Source organism: Homo sapiens, chromosome 1 (assembly GCF_000001405.40).
Source record: "Homo sapiens chromosome 1, GRCh38.p14 Primary Assembly".
NCBI classification, from domain to species: Eukaryota; Metazoa; Chordata; class Mammalia; order Primates; family Hominidae; genus Homo; species Homo sapiens.
In genome coordinates this window covers 31354675-31379441 of record NC_000001.11, presented here as the reverse complement: position 1 = coordinate 31379441, position 24767 = coordinate 31354675, and the positions used below count along the sequence as shown (strand labels likewise).

Below are 24767 nucleotides of genomic sequence, written 5' to 3'. Positions count from 1 at the left end.
GATCACTTGAGGTCAGGAGTTGGAGACCAGCCTGGTTAACATGGTGAAACCCCATCTCTACTAAAAATACAAAAATTAGCCAGGTGTGGTGGCAGATGCCTGTAATCCCAGCTACCCAGGGGACTGAGGCATGAACATCGCTTGAACCTGGGAGGCACAGGTTGCAATGAGCCGAGATTGCACCATTGCACTCCAGCCTAGGTGACAGAGCTGGACTGTCTAAAAAAATATATATATATAAAGATTTTTTAAAAAAGAAAAGACTGTAGGGGTGAGGAAGAGCACTGCTGGCAAACATAAAGAGAGAAACATGGTGTCCCCTCAAGGTACAAAAAGGTCAGAATGGCTGCAGTGTGTGTGGAAAGCTGGGAGAGGCAGGTAGGGGCTAGAGTGTGTGGGCTGTGATGCTTAGGCTGTGGCTATGGGGTCATGTCAAAGAAAGTGGGTCTTGTGCTAAGGACCACAGGCAGCCAAGGAAGGAGGCTGGAAGAGAAAAAACATAAACCAGGTACGCCTGTCCCAGCTACTGGAGAGGCTGAGGCAGGAGGATCGCTTGAGGCCAGGAGTTGGAGAAACATCCTTTGTGCTGCATTCCTCAATTTGTCCTCCCCTAGCTTCTCAGAGTCCTTGGGAGGCTGGCTAGGTGAGAATAGTGATAATGCTCTTTGCAGATTTAGAAACTGAGACCCAGTGAGATCATGACTTGCCCGAGGTCACACAGCTGTTGTATACATATGGCAAGACTGGAACCCAAGTCTCACTCCAGAGCCCCTAAAACTAGGGAGGTAGATAGATTCTCTCCTTCACTCACTCATTTGTTCATTCATTCAATATACTGTACCTGTCTACAACCATACCACCCTGAATGCACCCGATCTTGTCAATATACTATACCTTATTCTCCGCCAGAAACTCTTCTTAAAAAGGATTTCAGCAACAAATTAGACCAAGGAAATAGATGAGACCAGGCTATACAGTCTGGGCTTTCTTCTGTCAGCAACAGGGAGAGGATGGCTTCTGAGAAGGCAGATTGCCCCTCCCCACTGAGGTACCCCCTGTCCCCCAGGGCAGGGAGGGTCATTGTTCTCATTTCAGGGAGCATTCTGCCACAGGCAGCAGTTTCTTAGAAGCAAATTGGTGTTGAGTAAACCTCTACCTTCTGCCATCATTTGTTCTCTCCAGCCCACAGTATCTGGAACTCTTGGGGAACAAGGAAGCAGATTTCCTAGTGGCAGAAAGAACACTCCACCCACTGTAGCTGCAATCCCCCTGCACTGTGAGCTAAGTGAGAGCAGGGAGCTCTCCTGTTCACCCTGGATCCTCACTGAGCCTAGCACAGTGCCTGGCCATAGGAGGTGCTCAATTAAGATTGGTAGAATGAATGAATATTTAAAGAGAGAGAAAGGGAAATATGAGGAAACTTATGTCCAAGATCTGAAGGCCACTCTGTGACCTCAATGAAGAGGAGTTGGCCATATACTTGAATCCTTTCCTACTTATTCAGGGTCTCAAAGGGCCTTGGCTTACTCAAATATCCCGGGGAAAAGAACTGGAAGGAGGAAAGGAGAAAGGAGTTACTATTCCTTCAATATTAGTGCACGGTAGGCTTTCCATTTGTTATCTCTTTTAATTGTCCTAACAACCCTGAGAAGTTGATGGCCTTCCTCTATTTGGGAGAAAACAAGACTCAGAAGGGGGAAAGGGAGCTTGTTCTAGGTCTCTAGCTAGTAAATGCAGGCCTGGAGTTTAGAATCAGGGCTCTTTCCAAAGACACTGCATCTGAAGATGTCAGAGGCATTCTAACCAGAGTGACTCCATCTTGAATAGAGGCTGGATAAAATGAAGCTGAGACCTGGCTGGGATGCATTCCCACAAGGTGAAACATTCTTAGTCACAAAATGTTTACAGTTAAGAGTTAAGGGAACAGGTTAATAATTTACTAAACAGACATTTCTTTACTTCTCTAATAAACTTGCTTTTACTTTATTCTGCGGATTTGCCCCGAATTCTTTCTTGTGTGAGATGCAAGAACTCTCTCTTGGGGTCTGGATTGGGACCCCTTTCTGGTAACAAAGACCCCATGGACCAAGGGCATAAAAAGAAGGGATGTCTAAGACTTGCTGGTTCTATGGCAGGCAGAGGCAGAAAGAGCCCCACCATCATTCCCAGCAAATGGGAAAAGTTCCCAGTTGCAGATATTAGGGGTGGGATGGGGCGGGGGTAGTCAGCAACCATAGACTTAGACCCTGAAGAGGCAAAAAAGGAGGGCCATGTTCTTGGGTCAGCAGAGCTTCTACTCAGCTTCTTCAGCCTCTAGCTCTTTCCTGGTGCTAGTAGCACATTCTCTAGTGGAGGCATCCAGATGGCAGGGAGGGTCCAGGAAACAGCTGAACATGCTGAGCAGGCCTCCCTTGTCCCCGCTCCCCATGGCCCCATGGATCATCCGGTGCTGCAGCTCATCTCATTGGCTGGCTTCTGGTTACTCATCTCTCCTCTTCTCCATCTTCCCAGCCTGTGGTTGCCGTGGAAACATAGAACAGTGACCTCACCATAGGATGAGGGCTGGGGAGATGCTGTTCTTGGCAGGCGCTGGTCTTGCTGCCTGCCAGATGTTATATCCACATCTGGATCTGCCAAGGGCAAGACAGAGGAGTACAAAAAGGGACAGGGCTCACATTCTTCCCCAAATGTAGTCAGCATAACAGAGGAAGAGGATGCAGGTAGATCAGAGGGATGAGGAGAGAACTGTACATACTTAGAAGGGAGAAGGGTGTAAACCAGGAGGAAAGGAGATGGGGTGTGGCTTATGGGTTAACCTCGGTGACCCAGGTCTGAGCACCATGGCGAGGTGAGGGAAGGGCAGTGAGGGTAGTTGGTCTGAGGTTTGTCGAGTAGAGCTCCTCAAAGCCCCGTGCTGCTCAATTTGGACAGGCCCAAGAGAGGGAGCAAATGGATTTTCTGGCAGTGACCCCACCCCAACCCATTCTGAAAAACCTCTATAGCCCCTTTTTCAGTTGAAGCCCTTTCTAATCCTGTCCCAGAAATAATAAAACTGAGGATTAAAGAAGCAAAGCAATCTGCCTCAGGTAACTAACTCAGTAGGTAGTGGCAGAGCTCAGACTAGGTCTTAGGTGTCTGCACTATCCCTGGAGACAATAACAATAGCAGCAGGAGGAGCAGCAGCAGTGAACTTTCGTAAGTCAACCATGCTTAGCATTTAAATGTATTATCTCGGGCCAGGTGTCGTGGCTCACACCTGTAGTCTCAGCACTTTGGAAGCCGAGGCAAGCAGATTGCTTGAGGCCAGGAGTCCAACACCAGCCTGGGCAACACGGCAAAACCCTGTCTCTACCAAAAAAATGCACAAAAAATTAGCCAGGCGTGGTGCCATGCGCCTGTAGTCCTAACTACTCAGGAGGCTGAGGTGGGAGGATCCCTTGAGTCTGGGAGGTCAAGAATGCCATGAGCTGAGATCATGCCACTGCACTCCAGCCTGAGTGACAGAGTGAGACTCTCTCCAAATAAATAAATAGGCCAGGCGTGGTGGCTCATGCCTGTAATCCCAGCACTTTGGGAGGCCAAGGCAGGCGGATCACTTGAGGTCAGGAGTTCAAGGCCAGCCTGGCCAATATGGTGAAACCCCGTCTCTACTAAAAATATAAAAATTAGCCTGGCGCGGTGGCCCGCGCCTATAGTCCCAGCTACTTGGGAGGCTGAGGCAGGAGAATCACTTGAACCTGGGAGGCTGAGGCAGGAGAATCACTTGAACCTGGGAGGCAGAGGTTGCAGTGAGCTGAGATAACACCATTGCACTCCAGCCTGGGTGACAGAGTGCAAGACTCCATCTCCAAAAAAAAATCCCTTCATTTTAAAGATGAAACTGAAGCTGGCGTGGTGGCTCATGCCTGTAATCCCAGAACTTTAGGAGGTCCAGGTGGGCAGATCACCTGAGGTCAGGAGTTTAAGACCAGCCTGGCCAACATGGCGAAACCCCGTCTCTACTAAAAATACAAAAATTATCCAGATGTGGTGGCAGTTGCCTGTAATCCCAGCTACTTGGGAGGCTGAGGCAGGAGAATTGCTTGAACCCAGGAGGTGGAGGTTGCAGTGAGCCAAGATCACACCACTGCACTTCAGCCTGGGCAACGAGACTCCTTCTCAAAAAAAAAAAAAAAAAAATGGAGACTCAGAATGGCTTAAGTGAATTGCCCAAGGCCACACAGCTAGTACCCAACAAAATTCAGATCAGAACGCAGATCTGCCAGCAGCCATTAGCCCAGCCCCAGCTCTCCATCATTGCATTACAAGGGCCACATAAGGAGTCAGTTCTAGTTCCTGGCCACACAGTCCTTGAGAGGAGGCCCTATGTGTGAGGGCTGCGACCTTGAGTCAGAAATCATCTTTTCCCCCTCCTCCTCTCCTGGCACCTGTTCCAACAGTGAGATCACCAAGGCTCCATGCCCAGCCCTGAAGCCTGTCCCTATAGCTTTGGCAGAAATGAGCCTCTGAGTCTTCTGGCAACTGGACCGTCCAAAGGAATCAAGATCTTAGGGTGGGGAGAGGGCTCTTCCTCCCTGGCCTTGTTCTCAGAACAGTCCAGGGAAGGGAGGCAGGGTTTGCACATGGAGAAACAGAGTCCCAGGAAGGAGGGCCTGCCATACTCTACGCACGTGGCAGGCCTCTGGGCTCCTGTGTTGGCTCCTGCAGGCCCACCCTGGACAGGCTGCTGCTGGCTGAAATTCAGTTCGGCACTACTCCTTGGTGTGCAGGGCCTCCTGCCATCCCTCAGAAATTCATTTATACCTCACTTCCTTTGAGAAGTCTACATTGGGCCCTCAGGTCAGGACAGGACAGGACTCCCTTTAGAGGCACCACGCTAGTTTTATGTCTGGCTGCCCAGAGGTGAATGTGTGTCTTGTTCCCTGTTGTCTCTCTCCAAAGCAGGGCCTGGCACAAAGTAGGTGCTTTATTAACTGCTGAATTAATGAGTGAGCTCCTCAGAGCTTCAACTTGTTCACCTTTTTAAAAAGAGAAAATAATACAGTAACACCTACTTCATGGATTTTGCTTTAAAAGTCCAATGAGGCCAGGTGTGGTGGCGTGTGCCTATAGTCCCAGCTGCTGGGGAGGCTAAGGTAGGAGGATCCCCTGAGCCCCGGAGTTTGAGGCTGCAGTGAGCTATGATGGCGTCACAGTACTCCAGCCTGGGAGACACAGCGAGAGACTTTGTCTCTAAAAAATAATAATAAAATAAAAAGTTCAATGAAACAATACACCCAAAGCCCTCAGCATGCAATAAATAGCAAGACAAGGCAGGTCTTATTTTTACTGAAAGTGCTTAGTAAACTATACAGTGACAAACCACCGCACAACAGGCTCTCGAAAGGAGGCAGCAAATTACCCAAAAGTGCAGGCGGCTTGCTAGTGTGCACAGGCCAAAGAAAGGGCGGCAGGTGGGGAAGGCAGCCATGGGCCTTGAAGAGCTGACCGAATTGGCAGAATTTCTGCAGGAGGGGAGCTGGGAACGACCTGAGCTAAAGCTCGGAGCTGTGCGAAGAAACCGGAAAAGCCCAGAGCACTTGCAGGGGCGGGTGGGGAGCTAGATGGTGGGGTGGGGTGGGGACGGAGGAGGGCCAGCAGGAGACATTCCGCAGGGAGGGGCAAGCACGTGTGAGGCGGGCGGGGCGCGAAGGGTCAGGCTTTTGCTCAAAACAGGCAGAGGACAAGGTCAGCTCAGCCGCAGACCGAGCCGCTGGTGACTGTCTCCGCCACCAGGCAGTGAGAGTGAAGGGAGAGCGCGAGCTCTGAAGCCCGCTAGACTAAGCTTGCAATCTGAGCTCCATTCACCCCCTCCTATTTCTTGAGACCTTGTCAGTTCCCCTGTGAGCCTCGGACTCCTCACTTGTAAAACGAGGACAGATGCCCGTGCCAGAAGTCAACCAGAGCTTTCCCCGGCGTGGGCACCAGCCCAAGGGCGTTTTGCTTTTCTAGTCTCATCTCTGCTCTGACGCTAAGCTCAAAGAGGGACTGGGGGACGGGAAGATATCCACCATGGCATGCGCCCTAGCTCTCGGGCTGGTGTTGGCTGCTTCCTTCTCAGATTCCAGAGTGCCTAGAGGCCAGGAAAGGGAGAAGGTCCTACCAGCCTGGGGTAGGGACTCGGGGGCCAGGCACTGGCGCTGACGCAGGCTAGCAGGGCGCCACTGGCTGGTCCCCACCCACCTCGGTGGGTTGGGGGATGGGCGCACCAGCCCCTCCTGGGTGAGCCCTAGCCTGGGGCTTCCTATTTCGGGAGCCGGGGGCGTGGGCCACGTCTCCTCATGTGATGCGAGGGCTATTTAAAGCGGCAGCCCGGGCAGGGAGCCGCCGTCGGAGCCCTTGCACGCCTGCTCTCTTGTAGCTTCTCTCAGCCTAGCCCAGCATCACTATGGTGGACGCTTTCCTGGGCACCTGGAAGCTAGTGGACAGCAAGAATTTCGATGACTACATGAAGTCACTCGGTGAGCAAGCCGCGGGGCTCAGGATGTTGGCTTGGGGACTGGCTGGTGGCGTGCCTAGCCCCACGCAGCACTCCTGCCGCATCCCTCCTGGTTAAGACTGGGGAATAGGGGAGCGCGGAGATGGCAGCCTGGCCTAGAGCAGGTGGGGCCTGTTCAGAGGGGGCTTTGGTGGTCCAAATCTGGTTAGAGACCACGGTAGGGAGGTGGTGGAAGGAGGCAGCTGTGTGGGAGGCTCTTTCCAGGAAGAGGGATATGTGATTTGGAGGTAGGAGGAGGGTTTGGATAAAGAACACTGATCACAGGAAAGGGAGTGTAGCCAGGGGAGAAAAAGAACAGGGGCATGGGTAGTTTAGAAATTGGAGGAGACTGAACCCAGAAAGGGAATGGGGCAGCCAGGGAGTGTACAATGATGTAAACAAGTAGGAAATACCTAGGAGGAAAAAGATTAGTGGGGAAAAAACTGTGGATCAGTGAATCAGATATGAGAAGGACGTAAGACAGGAACCTGCAGTAAGCAGCAATCCCCATCTCTGCTTGGTTAGGGAAGAGAATTCTTGCTGGAGAATGCCCTTTCTCACCAGCCAGTCTGACCTTGTCCTGCAGTCTATGTATCCAGGCCTTCATCACTGTCTGTGAGCCTCGTGGTAGGGTGGGGCAAGAGGCCCATGATCAGCTGGGCCTTTCCTGCAACCCAAGGCTCACCTATCTGTGCGAGGGGTAGGCAGAGAAAGCCATTGGACTTCTGATGTGCAGTAGAGGGTCCCAAGGCAAGGTCAAGACCTGGGAGGGAGGATCACTGGTTTAGGAGGATGTGGAGAACTGCTGTGGTGTTGGGATGGAGAAGAATCAGGATTCAAAGAATCTCACAGGTGAGGAACTTGGAGATTCCCATACCATCTAGTTCAACAGGGAAACTGAAACCAGGAGAGTAGAAATGTATTATAACAATTCCACAGCAGAGCCAATATGAAAATCTAAGGTTTCTAGATCTGTAACCCAGAGCTCTTCCCACTACCCTACAGGCCCTGCGAGTGGGAAGAAAAGTAGAAACTGCTTAGCTAATGATTGACCTCAGCCCTTCTTCTACTGCTTTGGGCTTAGATGGAGAGGTCAAAGCTCTCAACGGCCTCTACCCTATCTTGGGCGCTATGCCCAGTAATTCTAGGCAGGCAGTCATTCTTAGAGGAGCAGCCCCCAGCCCCCACGAACACAGCCCAGCAGCTATTGGGAAGTTGGAATGCCCAGATTTAGTTCCTCCTTCCAAAGCTGGGCCAGAGCTGAGTCTTGAATTGAGCTGCAACAACTTTACCATTCTTGTTCCCTTATTCTGCCCCGAGTTGGGTCAGCGGGCTGGTCTCCCTGAAGTCCTGTTATCTTTCAGCAGCTTATGTTAAGGCAGCCAGCATTCTCATCGTAGGAATGGAAAGCCTGGGAAAATACCCTCCTCAGCTCTCAGTAAGTAGTGCTGGCTTCATTTCTAAGTAGAACCCAGATCTCCCTGAGTCTCCTAAATTCTGTCAGCTCAATATTCTTAGTTTCTCTTGGTTCAGACCCTCACTCATCCCGCAGTGGTTTCCTTTTCAAACACTCCATACCTCTGGGTAGATCCTAAGTGAACAGAGCTCCCAGTGCCGTGACAAGGTCCTGCTCTGTGCAAGGGAGTGTGATTGGCCTGACTCATCCTGATACCAAGGGGCAATGCCAAGTTCCTCACTGGCCAAGCAAGGGTGGGCTGACAGCATAACAGCAGAGGCAGCCCCTGCCCCTCCTGCTGTAGACCTAGGGCTCTCAAGGGGCAAAGAGGTCCCGTCTAGTACCAGTGACCACAGGCACAACTGCTGGCCTGGATTGAGTATGTGCTGGACAGAATCGCCCAGTGAAAATAGTCAACAGTTTTGGAGCCGAGGTTCAAATCTATGTCAGTAGTTTATTCTCTTTGAATTTCGACAAGACACTTCGCACTCTTCATTGTAAACTGGGGATAATCTACGCTTCGAGGCTGTTACAAGCATTAAGTAAAACAACCCATGTAGGGCATGTGCAGAGTACCTAGCTTCCAGCAAGCACTATGTAGCCAGGTACATTTGGAGACTTTACACACACCACCTCACTACACTGGGCTGCCTCCTGCCTCACCTTTGCCTTGGAAGACAGTTCAATGTTAAGCTGCTGGGGGGAGAGGGGGCAGTCATGATTAGTTCTTTGTTCTTTACTTGGTTGCAGGACACTTAGGACTTTGCCCAGTACCCAAGGAAGCCATGCTTGGGTCAGGAAGAGAGTCTCTGTAAAGCCTTAGACTGGGAGTCAGGAGACGGGTTTGAGTCTAACTCATTGTTGCTACCGCTTTAGGCTCCTCCTGAATCTGCACAATAGGACAAATACTTCCTTTGTACCTAACTCCTAGATCATAGATAACAGGCTTTGAAAATGATGGGTTGCCATGTATAAGGGACAAGAGCACTAACACTTCTTAGTTTCAGGGTAAAAACTTCCAAAGTTGGAAAACTCCTATGCCTAAGGCTTTGGAAGGGAAAGTCTATGTTTCTCTTCTTTCCTCAGCCTTATTCCTAAGGCTTTGAGAGCTTTTCAGGTGCCCTGGAAGGCAGCCTTATGCTCCAGCCTTGGGAGGTAGTATAGCTGAGCACTTAAGCAAGCTCTGGACTCAGACAATTCTGGGCTTCAATCTCAGATTTGTGACCCTGGGCTTTACCTCTGTTTTTGTATCTGTAACGTGGAAACAGTCTTCAGAAGAACAGGAAGAACTAAATGAGATAACATGTACAGTTCTTACTACACAAAAAGCTCATAGTACTTAATAGTAGCTTTTTTTTTTTTTTTGAGGTGGAATCTCACTCTGTTGGCTAGGCTGGAGTGCAGTGGCACAATCTCGACTCACTGCAACCTCCACCTCCTAGGTTCAAGCAATTCTCAGCCTCAGCCTCCTGAGTAGCTGGGATTACAGGCACATACCACCACATCTGGCTAATTTTTTGTATTTTTAGTAGAGACGGGTTTCACCATATTGGCCAGGCTGGTCTTAAACTCCTGGCCTCATGTGATCCGCCTGCCTTGGCCTCCCAAAGTGTGATTACAGGCGTGAGCCACCACACTTGGCCCAATAGTAGCTTATTCTAATCCCAGCTCTGCCACTGACTTGCTATGGCACTGCTGTTCCTTAAGTATCTCTCATCTAATGGGATCAGTTATCTGTGTTCACCAAACAGAACTAAGCGCAAGACTGAATTTTAAAATTCCCATGCAAAGGCTTTGAAAGATACAGTCCTCCACTTCCCCATACCCAGGCCTGAGAGTTATTCATTGAGTTTCTTGTACACTGCTTCTCTACCCCAGCTCATATACTCATAACCTTCCCCCTACCCTCAGGTGTGGGTTTTGCTACCAGGCAGGTGGCCAGCATGACCAAGCCTACCACAATCATCGAAAAGAATGGGGACATTCTCACCCTAAAAACACACAGCACCTTCAAGAACACAGAGATCAGCTTTAAGTTGGGGGTGGAGTTCGATGAGACAACAGCAGATGACAGGAAGGTCAAGGTAAGTCAGGGAAACAGGGGTGGGGAATGGAGAGTGCTGAGACTCTAAAAGAGAATAGGCTGGTAGTCTTGGCTCCCTGGTATTGCACCCTGAGGGGCAGACTATCATGGGGAATTTAAATGAAACAAGATTCATAAAGCCTGTGTAGTGCTGGAATGCCACTGATGCTAAATACATGTCAGTTCTGTCCTCTTGTTTTCTTCCCTCCCTTCTTGGGATTCATCTATTGTCTGCCTCGGAATGGGCAGCACAGAGCCAGGATGTTCTTCTGACCTCAGTATCTACTCCAGCTCCAGCTGGGTGACCCTGTGCAAGGTATGCAGTAGCTCTAGGTTTCTTTCCCCTTCCATAGATGGCAGAGTTATGTGGCCATGGCTGTGACCTGAAGTGCTTTAGGAATGATGCCCAGAAGTCAGGGCCCTCCACTGAGTGAGGTCATTGTGACCTCCAGCAGCAAAAAAGGCAGCCAGGAACTAGAAGCACCTACTCAGATGCCGCTTCAACTTCTAACTCCCAGACATGGCCAATGACCCTGACAAACTATTTCCAGTGTTGCCAGCTGACAGGCAGGAAGAGCTATGTTCCGTGATAGGGCATTCACCTTGTCATGAATGTGTTTGCAGTGTCTTCCCACCAAGCCTTAGCCCCTCCTCCCAGGGTTCTATCACCCTGCAGTGGCTGTCTTGGCAGCTTGCCTCAGCCTTCCAGGCCAGGCATGGGAGCGAGAGAACTTAAGGGCTTTGACCTCTATAGGGTGTCCCTATAGCAGTGTTCTATCATGACACTATCATTCAGCCCCATCAGCTGTTTCCTCTTCCTCATAGCTGTCCCCAGAAAGAACAGGATCACACAGGTGGCTGGCAGCAGAGCTGGGGATGGTGCCCAAAGATGGCAGTCTACCTTGGATAAAGGTGGCTGCCCCACCACCTGCTCATACCTCCTTGGACTTGCCTACTTTCTCAAGGGGCAAGAACCCCAATTAAACACAATAGCCCTGTGGAATGCCTAGGGCAAAAATATCTACTCTGAGTAGGCAAAAAAAACTAGGGGAATGAGAACAAGGAGTAAGGTAAGGATAAAAAAGAGCACACTAAGAGACAGGCCTCATACCCCTTATCACCTAAACAATACACAGAACCTTCTCAGATTCTCCTACTGAACCACCTTGCTCATCAGGATCCCTTAGCCTGGCCTTGTGGCCCCCAAACTCCTAGGAAAGAGAGCTGGAAGAGCTGCCAAATGAGAACCAGCTGATGTATGTATGCTGGCAGCACCCAGAGCTGAGGAACCACTTCAAGGGCATCCAGTCACAGGACTTTGTGGTTGCTGCCCTCTTGTTGGCTAAAGAGGTCACATGATGTGGACCAAGAAAAGGTGTAGGAATACAGGGCAGGAAGTCTAATTATCCAATACTTCCTATCACTAAGGGTCTTTTAGACATTATGTGGACTAACCACAAGGCTGGATAAAGATTCTCAGGACTACTCCTCCTCCTCAGTCAGTCTTTCCCAGGGATAGACTAGTAAATCCCACCTGTATCTGAGGGGACCAGGCTACGGGAATCACCTAGAGTACAGATAAGTGTCTGTCTTGAAGGCTTGTGGTACTTCTCAGAGCCAGGCTCTCTGGCTCCACCATACTGCCTGCCTCTCCCTCCTTGCCTAATATCTGAAGGCCTCTTCCCCAGAAAGGCAGTAGTGGAGCAGAGGCTGGAGGTGAACTAGATGTCTTGCAGGGATAGCTGGGAGGCGGATTGCCTGAGCTCTTGTCCTCACACCATCACTAGTTTGGGTCAAAGGCTGTGTGCTCTGTGGCCCAGTGTCCAGACCCCACCCTGCCCCTCAATTCCTGACTAAGATCACAGCTCAGGCCTCTACCCTCTTTCCACAGTCCATTGTGACACTGGATGGAGGGAAACTTGTTCACCTGCAGAAATGGGACGGGCAAGAGACCACACTTGTGCGGGAGCTAATTGATGGAAAACTCATCCTGGTAAGATGGGCAACTTTGGAGCTATATCTGATTGGTTATTACTACTGCTCTTTCAGCCAAGCCTGTTCTAAAAAGCCAAGTCCTCCCCTGAGAGCTGTAGAAGCTGGGACAAGAGAGTGGTTGTGGGTCAGGGTGGTATCAGGTGGGAATTTTCTGTGTAGTGGCTTTGGACTCACACAGGCCGGAACTCAAATCTTACCTTATAGGCTACATGACTGTGGGCAAATCACCTTTTCCAAGTGCAACTGTAAAACGGGTATTAATAATACCAACCTTGTAGGGCTGCTGGGAAGCCTGTAAGAGACAGTGTATGCACAGCACAAAGCATCACTGATTGAGGAACACAGCAGGTGCTCCATGTCCTTTGTTTGCTCTTCCTGTGTTTCTACCTTGCCTCACCTCAGGAAGAAGTAGAAAACAGGGCCAAATCTGATCCCAGGCCCTCTAGGAGGGGCTCCCATTGCCTATCTCAGCATTCCCTTTCCTCTCCTCCCTAGGACTGCATTGTCACTTGCAGGGACAGGCTCGTGACTGGTGGGGACACTGAATGACAGTACAGTCCTTTCTTCCCCATTCTAGTCCTACCCCATTTTCATGCTTTCTATGTCTGGCCTACTGAAACTACTTGACTACTGCTTGGGTAGGAAGTACCACAGCCAGGCTGGCAGATCTGTTCAAGCTTGGGGACTTCACTTGGAGAATCTAGCCTTGACTGAATTCCCCCCAGACCCAGGGAGAGCAGCCAACTGTGGATTCTGCCTAACCACAGGGCCTCAGGTTTTCACCTAGGCATCTTCACTGCACACCTTCTTGGGTCAGCATAACCTGTTAACTGCATTCTTGTACTCATGTGGGACAGGGGTCCCCTTGAAGTTTGGAATGAGGTGCCTAGCTTTGGTGGGGATGTGATATGCAGGACCAAATTCTCAGTGGCAGCTGAACTATGGTGAGGCCATGGGTCTGGCTCTATGATGCCAGACCGGATAGTGGGAGGTACAGGGCTCTGGCCCTGGCACTACTCTAAGTTAGGGAAGGATTGGAGTTAGTAGCCAAACACAGTCCTTTCCTGAGTCTCTGGATATTTTTCCTATTTGTCAACTATATGCCAGGCACCATCTTAGACACTAAGGATGAAGGAAGCCAAATGGTATAAGGGAAGGAAAAACACTCAGGATCTTGACCAAATTACTTCCTCTCTAAAGGCTCGTTTTTTCCAAATCTCTAAAATAAGAATTACAATGCCTATCTTAAGGATTTGCTGTGCATATCAGAAAAAAAAAATTATGTATGTATACACACACACACACACACACACACACACACACACACATACATACATATAGCCGGCACATAGTAGGTACTCAAGTGACAATTATCAGGAGGAAGGGAGGGTAGAATGCTCGCAATGGTGTTCCTGGCTCCACCCCCCATCTCACTCTGTCTTTCCTTCCAGACACTCACCCACGGCACTGCAGTTTGCACTCGCACTTATGAGAAAGAGGCATGACCTGACTGCACTGTTGCTGACTACTACTCTGCCAATCGGCTACCCCTCGACTCAGCACCACATTGCCTCATTTCTTCCTCTGCATTTTGTACAAATCCACGAATTCTTCTGGGGTCAGGTGCCACTGACCGGGATCCAGTTCCAGTTCCCATGGTGTATGTGGTTTTTTTTTTTTTTTTTTAACTGCACTCATAGGGTGCTCTGAGGTCAATAAAGCAGAGCCAAGGCCACCCAGTTGCCTTTTTGCCTTTGGTAACATAACTCTGGGAGTCTTGGTTTATCCTGTGTGTCAGAGAGTGGGCAGAAATAACGGCCTGAAGGTTACTGAGGAAGAAGCACTGGATGGGAGACTGAAATGGACAGTCTCGGAGCCTGTTAATCAGCTGATCACCTTACACATTTAATAATAAAAGAGCTGTACCTACACGTTGCCTTTACACTGCCCCCCCTCCATGGTCAAATGACCTAGTTCAGTCAGTGATGGGGCTTCCCCAGGTTTGGCTATTGAACTGTCACTTCAGGCCCATCCTACACTGAAAGCTCTTGGGTCTGGCTGTTCTCTGTGAAATGCTGTAGTCTCTCCCTTTCCAGAATTCAGGTTCAGGGCACAGAACCCAGGCTTGTACCATGGTGGTGGGAGAAAATGACCACTGGCCAAGAGGACTGCTGACCTGTGCACCAGGCTAGTACTTATGACTACAAATTCTTACTGCTTCTCTAATCAACTCTGAGGGAAGAGGGCATCTGATCATTACAAAAGGGAGGGCTTATAAGTGATCTCCCAAGAAGGCAGTGATCTGCTAGTGCCTTTGGCTCTGTACCTCTGCTGGGCATCTCTCCAAGGTCTAAGGTAACATATTAAATGTTTTTGTCAGCTAATGCAGGCTCAGTGACTTTAAGTCTGTAAGTTACCCAGGAAGAAGGATTATAGGAAAAATAACTCAGTAAGTTTAAAACCAAACACATTTCCATTTAGTGACAGGAATTTAAGCAAGGACCTGAAGTAGAATCAACTGATTCACACAGTAGTAAATACAAAGTAGAACAATGATCTTGGCTTCGCTGTCTGGTTCAGTGGTCTGCTGGAATGCAATACACAAGTTAAGTCACACTGCAGACTGTTTTCTAGCTGTGGCCGCTGGATGCCACTTCTAGCATAGTAGAACTATGTTAGGAGGAATGGGAAAAGTGAGCACCACTTCTCACCATGTTCCCCCCTCCTGCTGCCAGTCTCTGCTCCCATGTTGGATGCAGCAGAGATCACCCACCAGTTGGCCCAGGACAGACCAATAGGAAGGGTCCAATCACTCTAACTACAGCCGAACTCACCTCCACAACAGTCTCTGTGGCTCTAGCCTGGACTCCTTTACAGGAATCCAGCTCTGGCAGTGGCAGCTGGAGAGGGTAATAGGACCTCCTGCTGAATGAAGGAAGTTGGGTGAATGAATGGGTGAGCTGCAGGGTTCACTTGCAAAGGGACCAGGAGTGATAAGGAAACAACAACTCATTCAGGCAGCTGCTTTTGACCTCTAACTCCCAAACCTGCCTGTTGCATGAGGGGAAGCCATCTCCCATGGGAGCGAAGTTAATGGGGTGGGAGGCTATATTCTCACTATTGAGTCTTTCCAGGAGTCTCAAGGCACAAGGCTCCTGGTTTCTTACTCTCAACCACCCCCTACACTCTTTATACTCTCACTCCTTGTGCTTCTTCTTGTGCTTCTTCTTCTTTTTCTTCTTCTTTGCTGCCTTGCTGTCTTTTGATGTGTGCCTTGCCCTCTTGCCTGTATCACTCTCAGAGTCTGAGCTGTCAGAGTCAGATGACTTCCTATCTCTATGTTTCTTTTTCTTCTTCTCCTGAAAAGAAAATTTTAAAAATCAACACTGTATGTGTATATTTGCTTTTAACAATCATAGCACATAATTGGCCAGGTGCAGTGGCTCACACCTGTAATCCTAGTACTTTGGGAAGCCGAGGTGGGAGGAATGCTTGAGGCCAGGAGTTCAAGATCAACCTGGCTAACATAGCAAGATCTCATCTCTAAAAAGAGAAAAAAAGAAAAATTATAGCACACAATCAATAGGGGACCACTTAATTTTCTTTTAGACAGTCTCGCTCTGTTGCCCAGGCTAGAGTGCAGTGCAGTGGCACGATCACAGCTCACTGCAACCTCAACCTCTTGGGCTCAAGCAATCCTCCCACCTCAGCCTCCCAAGTAGCTGGGACCACAGGTATGCACCACCACACCCTGCTAATTTTTATGGAGTTGGGTTTCTCCATGTTGCCCAGGCTGGCCTCAAACTCCTAAGCTCAAGCAATCTGCCCACCTTGGCCTCCCGAAGTGCTGTGATTACAGGTGTGAGACACCATGTCCAGCCAACACTTAATAAAGTATAAGACATTGTGGCCAGGTGCGGTGGCTCACGCCTGTAATCCCAGCACTTTGGGAGGCCGAGGCAGGTGGATCACGAGGTCAGGAGATCGAGACCATCCTGGCTAACATGGTGAAACCCCGTCTCTACTAAAAATACAAAATATTAGCCAGGCGTGGTGGCAGGTGCTTGTAGTCCCAGCTACTCGGGAGGCTGAGACAGGAGAATGGTGTGAACCCAGGAGGCGGAGCTTGCAGTGAGCTAAGATTGTGCCACTGCACTCCAGCCTTGGCGACAGAGCGAGACTCCGTCTCAAAAAAAAAAAAAAAAAAAGTATAAGACATTGCAAACAATAAAGTAAATCTTTAAGTGCCAACAAGAAAAAAATAGCTAAAACATGTTAAGTAAAAGAACCAAGACATAATATGTATTGTAGGTTCCAGTGCGTATAACATATACATGTGTATTTATATATATATGCACATGATATAAACTGTGTATGTTACACATACTTGTGTATATTTAGTATACACAGAGAACACTGAAAAGGATACATCAAACTGGTAATAAGTGTTACACATTGGGAATGAACTGAATGGGGGAAAGGATATGGGTCTTTCACTTTTTCCTTCAAATACTTCTGTCTAATTTGATTTTTTTTAAACAAGTATCTTATTACTTTCATTTTTTAAAGTGCAGGACATTAAAGCTGAAAGGCGCCCCTAAAGACTAGCCAGTCTATCTAGAAACAGTGACTCACATATCCAAGGTCAAAGAATAGGAGTAAAAGATTTAGAACTCCTGACTGCTATTCTGGTTTCTATTAGATCCTGGTGCCAGGGGAAATAACTGCCATCAAATAATAAGCCTGTACTTGCTACCCTTGAATATTCATCATCTCTAACTTTACAGCCACCTCACAAGATTATACTCATAAAGAAAAGAGCTGAGAAAGAACATTCCCAAAACTATACCCACCACATCATGCTACCAAAGTAACAGTACAAACCCATACAAAAGACGAGAGGCAGATTCCCAGGTGTCTAATGGGGCAGTATGAGCAGATTTTAAGCACGGCATAAATCTCTTCTTTGAATTTCAAATACCTATATTGCCTCTGTAAGGTTTCTAAGAAGAGGGAGAAAGTATGGGAGGAGAAAGAGAGCAGAAAAGGATGCCAGCTTCCAACCAGCAGCCTCAGAGCTATAAATCTAGCTGAATGATACACCAGGTCTTAGAAGCTGGCTGTGAAAAATGGTGGAAAGAACACTGAAGCAGGTGTTAGATAGACCTGGACCTGAGTTCTGGCTCTGCCATTTACTATTCTGCATCCGTGGGCAAGTCATCTGAACTCACTGAGGCCTGTTCCCTTCAAATGTAAACTGGAGATAAGAATAACATCTACTGGCTGGGCGCGGTGGCTCATGCCTGTAATCCCAGCACTCTGGGAGGCCAAGGCAGGTGGATCATGAGGTCAGGAGATCGAGACCATCCTGGCCAACATGGTGAAACCCTGTCTCTACTAAAAATACAAAAATTGGCCGGGTGTGGTTACGCGGGCCTGTAGTCCCAGCTACTCAGGAAGCTGAGGTGGGAGGATCGCTTGAGCCCAAGAGCTGGAAGTTGCAGTGAGCCATAATCCTGCCACTGCACTCCAGGCTGGGCAACTGAGCAAGACCCTGTCTCAAAATAAATAAATAAATAAATAAATAAATAAATAAATAAATAATCTCCCCCTCTCCCCAAAAAAAACACCTATGGTGACAAGTTAATGAGATAGTATCTAAGGCTTGGACAAGTTGAAAGCCACTTGTCCCAGATCGCATAGGCGCAGTTGGGATCTTCATGTAGATCATATGAATGGAAATCTCCTGAGTTTTCCTATGTAGCACATGGCCCCTCTTTCTGTATGGTAACAGGAGGCCTCATGGTATGGTCATTAGAACAACAAATTTTGGAATAAGATAGAATTAAGTTCAAATTCTAGCTCTGCAACTTAACTCACTATGTGACTTAGAACAAGGGATTTAACTTTTTTGAACCTCAGTTTTCTTTTCAGTAAACTGGAAATAATAAGTACCTATTTCAAAGGATGCTATGAGGTTTAAACAAGATAAGCACTAACTATAGTGCCTGACACATTATAGGCACTTAGTGGGAGCTATATGTATTTTTCTCTCATTAACTCCCAGGATGTTCTGACAGCCTGGCCAAGCATCTACAGGAGACAAGTCAAAGTTTTAAGAGAAGATGAAATAACAATTCTTCCTTGGCATCTCCAATGGAGTAGAGAGAAGGCAACAAAGCTTCTCAGACCCACATTACCGAGCTATAACAACCATGGCTGGGAGGAGCTGAGAGTTGGCAAATCAATAGTTTAGCTATGTTGCTGAACCTTCCTGGATGGCAAGACCATGGAAGTCCATCACAAGATATTATGGGGTCAGGAGCCTCACTGGGTTCTGCCCCTTATATAGGTGAATATCCTGGGAAAGTAAAAATGAAAATACAGAGTCTGGCACCAGTTCCCTGCAAGCCTGGTCCAGCCTGGATAAAGAAGTGAGGAGAGTAATAATACTGCCTTACACCTAAACAGTGCTTTAGTTTATCAAGCTTTTTGCATCCTTATCTTACAATAATAGTCTGTAGAGTCAAACTTCATGAGTTATTATTCCCATTTTACAGATGGAAAAACTGCAACTCAGAAATGTAAAGTGAGTCGACCAAGGCTAAAGCGGCAAAACCACTATACTTTATAACACAGAGTTTGGCACTATTTCCACTTTGTTCTCTCTCAAAGATGAAGGCTCAGGAGGAGGGAAGATAAAAACAAATCACTGGAGAGTCCTGGCATGCTGGAACATGGACTCTAGCTAGCAAGAAGGGCTCAAGGAGGTGGCCTTCTCCTAGACCTCAACTTTGATGCAAAAGCTGTTTTGCAGCCTGAACAAAGACAATCCAATCCTCCAGCAAATGGCGTCATTTTCCCTACGTGTCTAGCCTTGAGCTACAGAACAAAAGAACAATCACATCCGAAGTTGTAGTTCGCCTGGTTGCGGTGGCTCACGCCTGTGATCCCAGCACTTTGGGAGGCCAAGGTGGGTGGATCACCTGAGGTCAGGAGGTCGAGACTAGCCTGACCAACATGAAGAAACCCCATCTCTACTAAAAATACAAAATTAGCTGGGCGTGGTGGCACATGCCTGTAATCCCAGCTACTCGGGAGGCTGAGGCAGGAGAATCGCTTGAGCGTGGGAGGCGGAGGTTTTGGTGAGCCAAGATCGCGCCACTGCACTCCAGCCTGGGCAACAAGAGCGAAACTCTGTCTCAAAACAAAACAAAACAAAACACGCACACACAAAAACAAAATTAGCCGGGCGTGGTGGCACATGCCTGTAATCCCAGCTACTCGGGAGGCTGAGGCAGGAGAATTGCTTGAACCCGGAGGCAGAGGTTGGGGTCAGCCAAGATTGTGCCATTGCACTCCAGCCTGGGCAACAAGATGGAAACTCCGTCTCAAAAAAAAAAAAAAGGTTGTAGTTCAAAAGCAAAGTTGGGAGTTGGGGTGGGGGAAGACTGAGAGCCAGAAGATGAACCAAGCTTCTGCTCTCTCAACTTCATTCAAGTGAGAAGGGAAACAGAAGATAATGGGTTAAAAAAAAATGACATGGATTCAAGTATCAGATGGAAATAGAAAATTAAACATAAAACAGTTTTTAAATGGCATAGGAGTGTGAGCCCATGGCGCAGGTCAAGGGGGCACTGGAAGGAAGCCACTGGTCAAACATCTCAAAGACTGCTCTCTAGGAAAAGCACATATCCCTTGTTAGAGCAGCTAGTCTACCCATTTTCACTATAGTTCTGAAACAGGATAGCAGCAGCCCAGTGTGACAGAAAAACAAAAATAAAAGCAAAAACTGAAAAAAGAGAATATAGCAGTGAACATTTATTGAGTACTTAATTTTCTATTTTATTTATTTACTTATTTTTAGGATGGAGTCTTGCTTTGTCACTCAGGCTGGAGTGCAGTGGTGTGATCTCGGCTCACTGGAGCATCTGGCTCCTGGGTTCAGGCAATTCTCCTTGAATCGCTTGTAGTCCCAAGTAGCTGGGACTACAGGCGCATGCCACCACACCCAGCTAAGTTTTGTATTTTTTTTTAACTAGAGTCGGGGTTTCACCATATTAGCCAGGCTGGTCTCAAACTCCTGACCTCAAGTGATCCACCTGCCTCATCCTCCCAAAGTGCTGGGATTACAGGCATGAGCCACCACACCCAGCCAGTACTTAATTTTCTAAAGGCAGGTGGATCTCTTGAGCCTAGGAGTTCAAGACCAGCCTGGAAAACATAGTGAGACCCTGTCTCTACAAAAACAAACAAACAAAATTACCAGTAACCTCCACGTGGCCAAATCTAGTGGTCAATTATTGGGTCTTATTTACTTGGTCAGTCAAGATGGATACAGACCATCTTACCTAGAACACATTCATGGTATTTCTACCACATTTTACATTCTCTTACTTTTCTACAAACTTCCTTGGCTGTTCCTTTCCTGTCTTCTTTGTTAGTTCATCCTCATCTCCATAACCTCTAAGTGTTGAGCACTCTGGGGCTCAGTCTCTTCCCTATATTTACTCTGCAGGTGATCTCATGAACATAAATACCATCTATATGTAGATGACTCCCAAATTTATATATCTTACCTGGGCCTCTCCCTTGAACTCCAAACTATATATCCACTGTCTACTCTATGGTCTACTTGAATATCTGATAGGCAACTCAATTTCTATGCCCCGCCCCCTCCCAAACCTAGACTCTCCCAGCTATCTTTCCATCTGTGTAGACAGCAACTCAAACTAAACTCCTGACTGCTCCCTACTCCCACACTTACTTCTCCTGCATTCCTTCTCTTAACTCAAATCTTCCAGTTACACAGTCCAAAAATTTTGATGCCATCCTCACCTGCTCTTATATCTTCAAAATATATACACACTTCAACTCCTTTCTCATCATTTTTGCCACTGTCATTCTAGTCCAAGCCACCATCATCTGGATTATCTATCAACTCACTGCTTCTACTCTTGCTTTCTGACCATCTAAGTTTCTACATAGCAGCCAGAATAATTCTCTTAAAAGGAAGTCAGATCATGTCATTCCTCTGCTCAAAACCTCTAATAACATCCATCTCACTCAAGTGAAAGATGAAATCCTCCCAATCACCTATAAGGCCCCAGTGATCTGGGTTCCTTCTGATCTAACTTCCTCTCCTACCACTCTCTTTTCATTCATTTCACTGTAGCCACACTGGCGTCCTTAATGTTCTTTAATCATGCCACACTCTTTCCCAACATCAGCTGTTACATTTGCTGAAATGCTCTCTCTCCACTTACCTGAATAGCTTGTGTCCTCACTTCCTTCTGATATCCACTCAAACAACACTTTATGAGAAAGGCCTGGCCCAGGCCAGGCGCGGTGGCTCACGCCTGTAATCCCAGCATTTTGGGAGGCCGAGGTGTGTGGATCACCCGAGGTCGGGAGTTCAAGACCAGCCTGAACAACATGGAGAAACCCGTCTCTACTAAAAATAGAAAATCAGCTGGGCGTGGTGGTGCATGCCTGTAATCCCAGCTACTCGGGAGGCTGAGGCATAAGAATTGCTTGAACCCAGGAGGCAGAGGTTGCAGTGAGCTGAGATCGCACCATTGCACTCCAGCCTGGGCAACAAGAGTGAAACTCCGTCTCAAAAAAAAAAAAAGAAAGGCCTGGCCTTACCATCCTATCTAAAATGAAAGTCACCTGCTCCCCACATCCTCATTCTAGGACTCCCTATCTCCCTTAATCAAATTAATTTTTCTCTATAGCACTTATCACTACTTGATACATTATTTTTACTATTTTGTATTTGTTTACCAGTTTATTATCTGTGTCAATCGACCCCATCCATTAGAATCTAAGTGCCATGAAGATAGGGATTTTACCTGTTTTGTTCACTACTTTACCTGCAATGGCCAGAACAGAGCTTAGCACACAGTAGAAGCTCTATTAATGAATGAAGCTGGAGTATAGTGTGTGGGAAGAGACTGGTGGGAAATGATGCTAGGAAGCTGGGCAGATTGTGAAGAGTCTTAAAGGAACTTAGACTTTATGTCATAGAAGAAAGCGAACCACTGAAGGCTTCTGAGTAGGCAACACTGGGCAACGCTCTCTGCTGTATCTGAATAGGCAGAGAATGTGTCCCTGAGTGGGCTCAGGACTGGCAACCTTTCTCTATATAGGCACCAGAAGAAGTTCTCTGGACAGCAGGACAGAGCCAACACTGCAGCCAAAGAATGACATTCCTATTTCTTGTTCTTCTATATATGGTACAGCAGAAAATCATATGGTAAAATCAAAAGAAAATTATATTCTGAATCAAACATATCTAAAGTTTACTATAATCAGTGGGCAGCTTGGTCCCCAAGGCACTTACTTCTTCATAACATAACACCGATTCAGAAAGACCTACGATGGCATATGATTAATGAAAGAGGCCAGTAAAGCACAGACCACAAGTTCATCAGAAGATTATCCAGGGATTCACTACAAAACCTCCATTCCTATTTTACCAACCACTTCATAGCCCATTTCCAATTGCAACACACAGTTTCCTTTTATTCTAATTATGCCCAACAAAAATTATTTATAACATTCAGTCACTGGGACAAAAATTGTTCATGGTGCCAGATGCACACAACTAAATCAATGCATCCTGGACTTGTGGGAAAAGGCATTCAATACATGTATGTTTTAATGAAAAGACGTGGGAAGGCTCAAGGTTAGGAAGATCTGTTATTCTTACTCCTGCCCCTGCTCCTTTCATTATCGCCCACTGCCAGCAGCAGGAGTCAATACCTATTACTCTGCAATCTGAGGGCAGGTTTCACTGAGTGAAGACACCCAAGGAATGACAGAGAGCACAGATTATGAAGTCTATCTATTCACAGGTAGTTAGTGCATGTATTCCTATTAAGTACCAGGCATTATTTGTAAAAGGTGACATCCTTTCCTTATCCTGGGCTATTTCTGGTGGTTCCTCAACAGGTCTACCATTTTCTGTCTTCTTAGAGGCTTTGCATTGTCTTCCACTAGACTATAAAAAGTGAGGTAATGAAACAGACTTGTGAAGAAACGGAGATGAGAACCTAATGAGACTTTCCAGTTCTAGTCCTAGGTGGCCTGACTACACTGCATTTCCTGTCCTTGGATGTCCATAAAATCAAATAACCTCCTTGGAATGTGTTTCTATCCTTTACCACCATACATAGCTTGGCTGCTTATCTTTCTCCTTATATGATTAGCCGCTTGAGTGTAGGTACCATATGATCTTTATTTCATGAGTTACTTTTTTAACTGTTAGAAATGCATTAACTGAACTTACATGAGTTACTATCATATATGCCCTTCCACACGCCAGGCATTCCTACTCTCCACTGTCCAACTCAGGAGCATGGACTGCTAAAGGCATGTTCCTTCACAAATCTACTCAGTTCCATATTTGGCTCCCAGAGCTGACTAGTCCTGAAACAAGTGTCCAAATCTGCCACTCACACACCAAAAAAGCCATCTCAGACAGAAGATTTTACTGTTAAGGAAAACCAACCTCCTGCTGGAATCCAAGATTTAGAGGGTAAAAGGAAACAGGAGGGCTGGAATCTTGATTTACAGTTGTGAGCAGAAACAAATCAATAGATAACATCACATGATGGCTAACGGTAGCTGGGAACAAAACAAAAACCCACCAAAAACTGACTTGATGAGTCCTGATATGTCAAGTACCTAACACAATGCTAGATACCTATGAAGCAGATAATACATATTTGTTCAGTAAATGAATAATTGAAGAGTTAAATAAATGGTTGAAGTGTGATATACAGAAAAGAATATTGTTAGTAATCTGAAGACATGGGTTATTTTTTCAGCATTATCTCTTATATTTGTGTGACTTCCGGTGAGTTACGTCAATTTCTCTGAAGCTCCATTTTACTCATGTGTAAAATGGTGGGATAATAATTCCTGTTCTGGCTATCTCATAGAATTGTATAATGATAAAAAGAAACAAAAACAGCAATGTATTTTATAAACTGTAAGCACTAAACAAATATGAGGCATAAAAGGTAATGACGGGATTAACAATGAGGTGAAAAGACAACGATGCTAAATGCTATCTTGGTAGAAATAGTGGGCATCAAGAGGAAAGTTTTACCCTTCTACACTCCCTAGAACACTTTTTAATCAAAGAGGACTCATGAGTTAGAAGTTCATATACACAAAGATACTTTTTTTTTTTTTTTTTTTTTAATTGAGATGGAGTCTCACTCTGTCGCCCAGGCTGGAGTGCAGTGGCGCAATCTCGGCTCACTGCACCCTCCGCCTCCTGGGTTCAAGCAATTCTCCTGCCTCAGCCTCCCAAGTAGCTAGGATTACAGGCCCTCGCCACCACGCCTGGCTAATTTCTGTATTTTTAGTAGAGACGGGGTTTTGCCACGTTGGCCAGGCTGGTCTCAAACTCCTGATCTCAAGTGATCCACCCGCCTTGGCCTCCCAAAGTGCTGGGATTACAGGCATGAGCCACCGTGCCCGGCCAAAGATACTTTTAAGAAATAATAATGTATAATGATTATTACTGCCATTGTTCATCAGACCATTCCTCTACTAAGTGAAAGGCAATGGAGGGCTGGGTAGTAGGTTGACTAAGCAGGTCATAAAGAGCCTCATACCTAGCAGATAGAGCCTCAGTAATTGGTTTTGTGAACTGAAATACATATCTCAAAGCAGCTTTAGAAACAAAGGAATAACAAATT

General features: G+C 47.1%; 2 protein-coding genes and 1 long non-coding RNA gene across 15 annotated transcripts in view, besides 4 other annotated features; 1 reads left to right on the top strand and 2 right to left on the bottom strand.

Annotated features, from left to right (window-relative positions):
- Nucleotides 1955-5143, bottom strand: LOC124903892 (uncharacterized). The gene is made up of 2 exons (XR_007065573.1): nucleotides 5055-5143; nucleotides 1955-2630 (listed from the first exon to the last, which is right to left on the bottom strand). It is a non-coding gene; the product is annotated as an uncharacterized LOC124903892 (long non-coding RNA).
- Nucleotides 2346-2640: a silencer, noted in NCBI's record as "tiled region #3310; HepG2 Repressive DNase matched - State 9:DNaseU". NCBI's record gives its function as "represses a minimal TATA promoter and a strong SV40 promoter by Sharpr-MPRA in HepG2 cells {active_cell/tissue: HepG2}" and the evidence as "EXISTENCE:reporter gene assay evidence [ECO:0000049][PMID:27701403]".
- Nucleotides 5886-6180: a silencer, noted in NCBI's record as "tiled region #13821; K562 Repressive non-DNase unmatched - State 1:Tss". NCBI's record gives its function as "represses a minimal TATA promoter and a strong SV40 promoter by Sharpr-MPRA in K562 cells {active_cell/tissue: K562}" and the evidence as "EXISTENCE:reporter gene assay evidence [ECO:0000049][PMID:27701403]".
- On the top strand, nucleotides 6366-19854 carry FABP3 (fatty acid binding protein 3). 3 transcript variants are annotated; one of them, XM_011541007.4, is made up of 4 exons: nucleotides 6366-6500; nucleotides 9885-10057; nucleotides 11948-12049; nucleotides 18612-19854. In XM_011541007.4, exons 1-4 carry the CDS (start codon nucleotides 6428-6430, stop codon nucleotides 18642-18644), a joined length of 381 nt encoding a protein of 126 aa, XP_011539309.1. In that variant the 5' UTR covers nucleotides 6366-6427; the 3' UTR covers nucleotides 18645-19854. The 3 variants fall into 3 exon arrangements, with proteins under 3 accessions (XP_011539309.1, NP_004093.1, NP_001307925.1); NM_004102.5 differs by lacking the exon at nucleotides 18612-19854 and adding an exon at nucleotides 13503-14189; NM_001320996.2 differs by lacking the exon at nucleotides 18612-19854 and adding an exon at nucleotides 13503-14189 and having other exon boundaries at nucleotides 9852-10057.
- Nucleotides 12795-12977: a silencer, noted in NCBI's record as "fragment chr1:31839312-31839494 (GRCh37/hg19 assembly coordinates)". NCBI's record gives its function as "represses an EF-1alpha promoter that drives an FKBP-Casp9 reporter gene in an ReSE screen in HepG2 liver carcinoma cells {active_cell/tissue: HepG2}" and the evidence as "EXISTENCE:reporter gene assay evidence [ECO:0000049][PMID:32094911]".
- ZCCHC17 (zinc finger CCHC-type containing 17) overlaps nucleotides 14506-24767 on the bottom strand; it is a 67905-nt gene continuing 57643 nt past the window's right edge. For all 11 annotated transcript variants that reach the window (NM_001282568.2, NM_001282566.2, XM_047422508.1 and 8 more), the window contains one exon: nucleotides 14506-15410. In NM_001282568.2, the coding sequence (NP_001269497.1) occupies nucleotides 15249-15410 (162 nt within the window). In that variant the 3' untranslated portion in view covers nucleotides 14506-15248. The remainder of the gene's footprint in view (nucleotides 15411-24767) is intronic.
- Nucleotides 24386-24553: a silencer, noted in NCBI's record as "fragment chr1:31827736-31827903 (GRCh37/hg19 assembly coordinates)". NCBI's record gives its function as "represses an EF-1alpha promoter that drives an FKBP-Casp9 reporter gene in an ReSE screen in K562 erythroleukemia cells {active_cell/tissue: K562}" and the evidence as "EXISTENCE:reporter gene assay evidence [ECO:0000049][PMID:32094911]".

Coding starts and splice junctions, on each gene's coding strand:
- FABP3 (NM_001320996.2), top strand. CDS start 6,428: ATGGTGGACGCTTTCCTGGGCACCTGGAAGCTAGTGGACAGCAAGAAT. Junction 10,058..11,947: donor CAGATGACAGGAAGGTCAAG/GTAAGTCAGGGA, acceptor CTCTTTCCACAG/TCCATTGTGACACTGGATGG. Junction 12,050..13,502: donor TTGATGGAAAACTCATCCTG/GTAAGATGGGCA, acceptor CTTTCCTTCCAG/ACACTCACCCACGGCACTGC.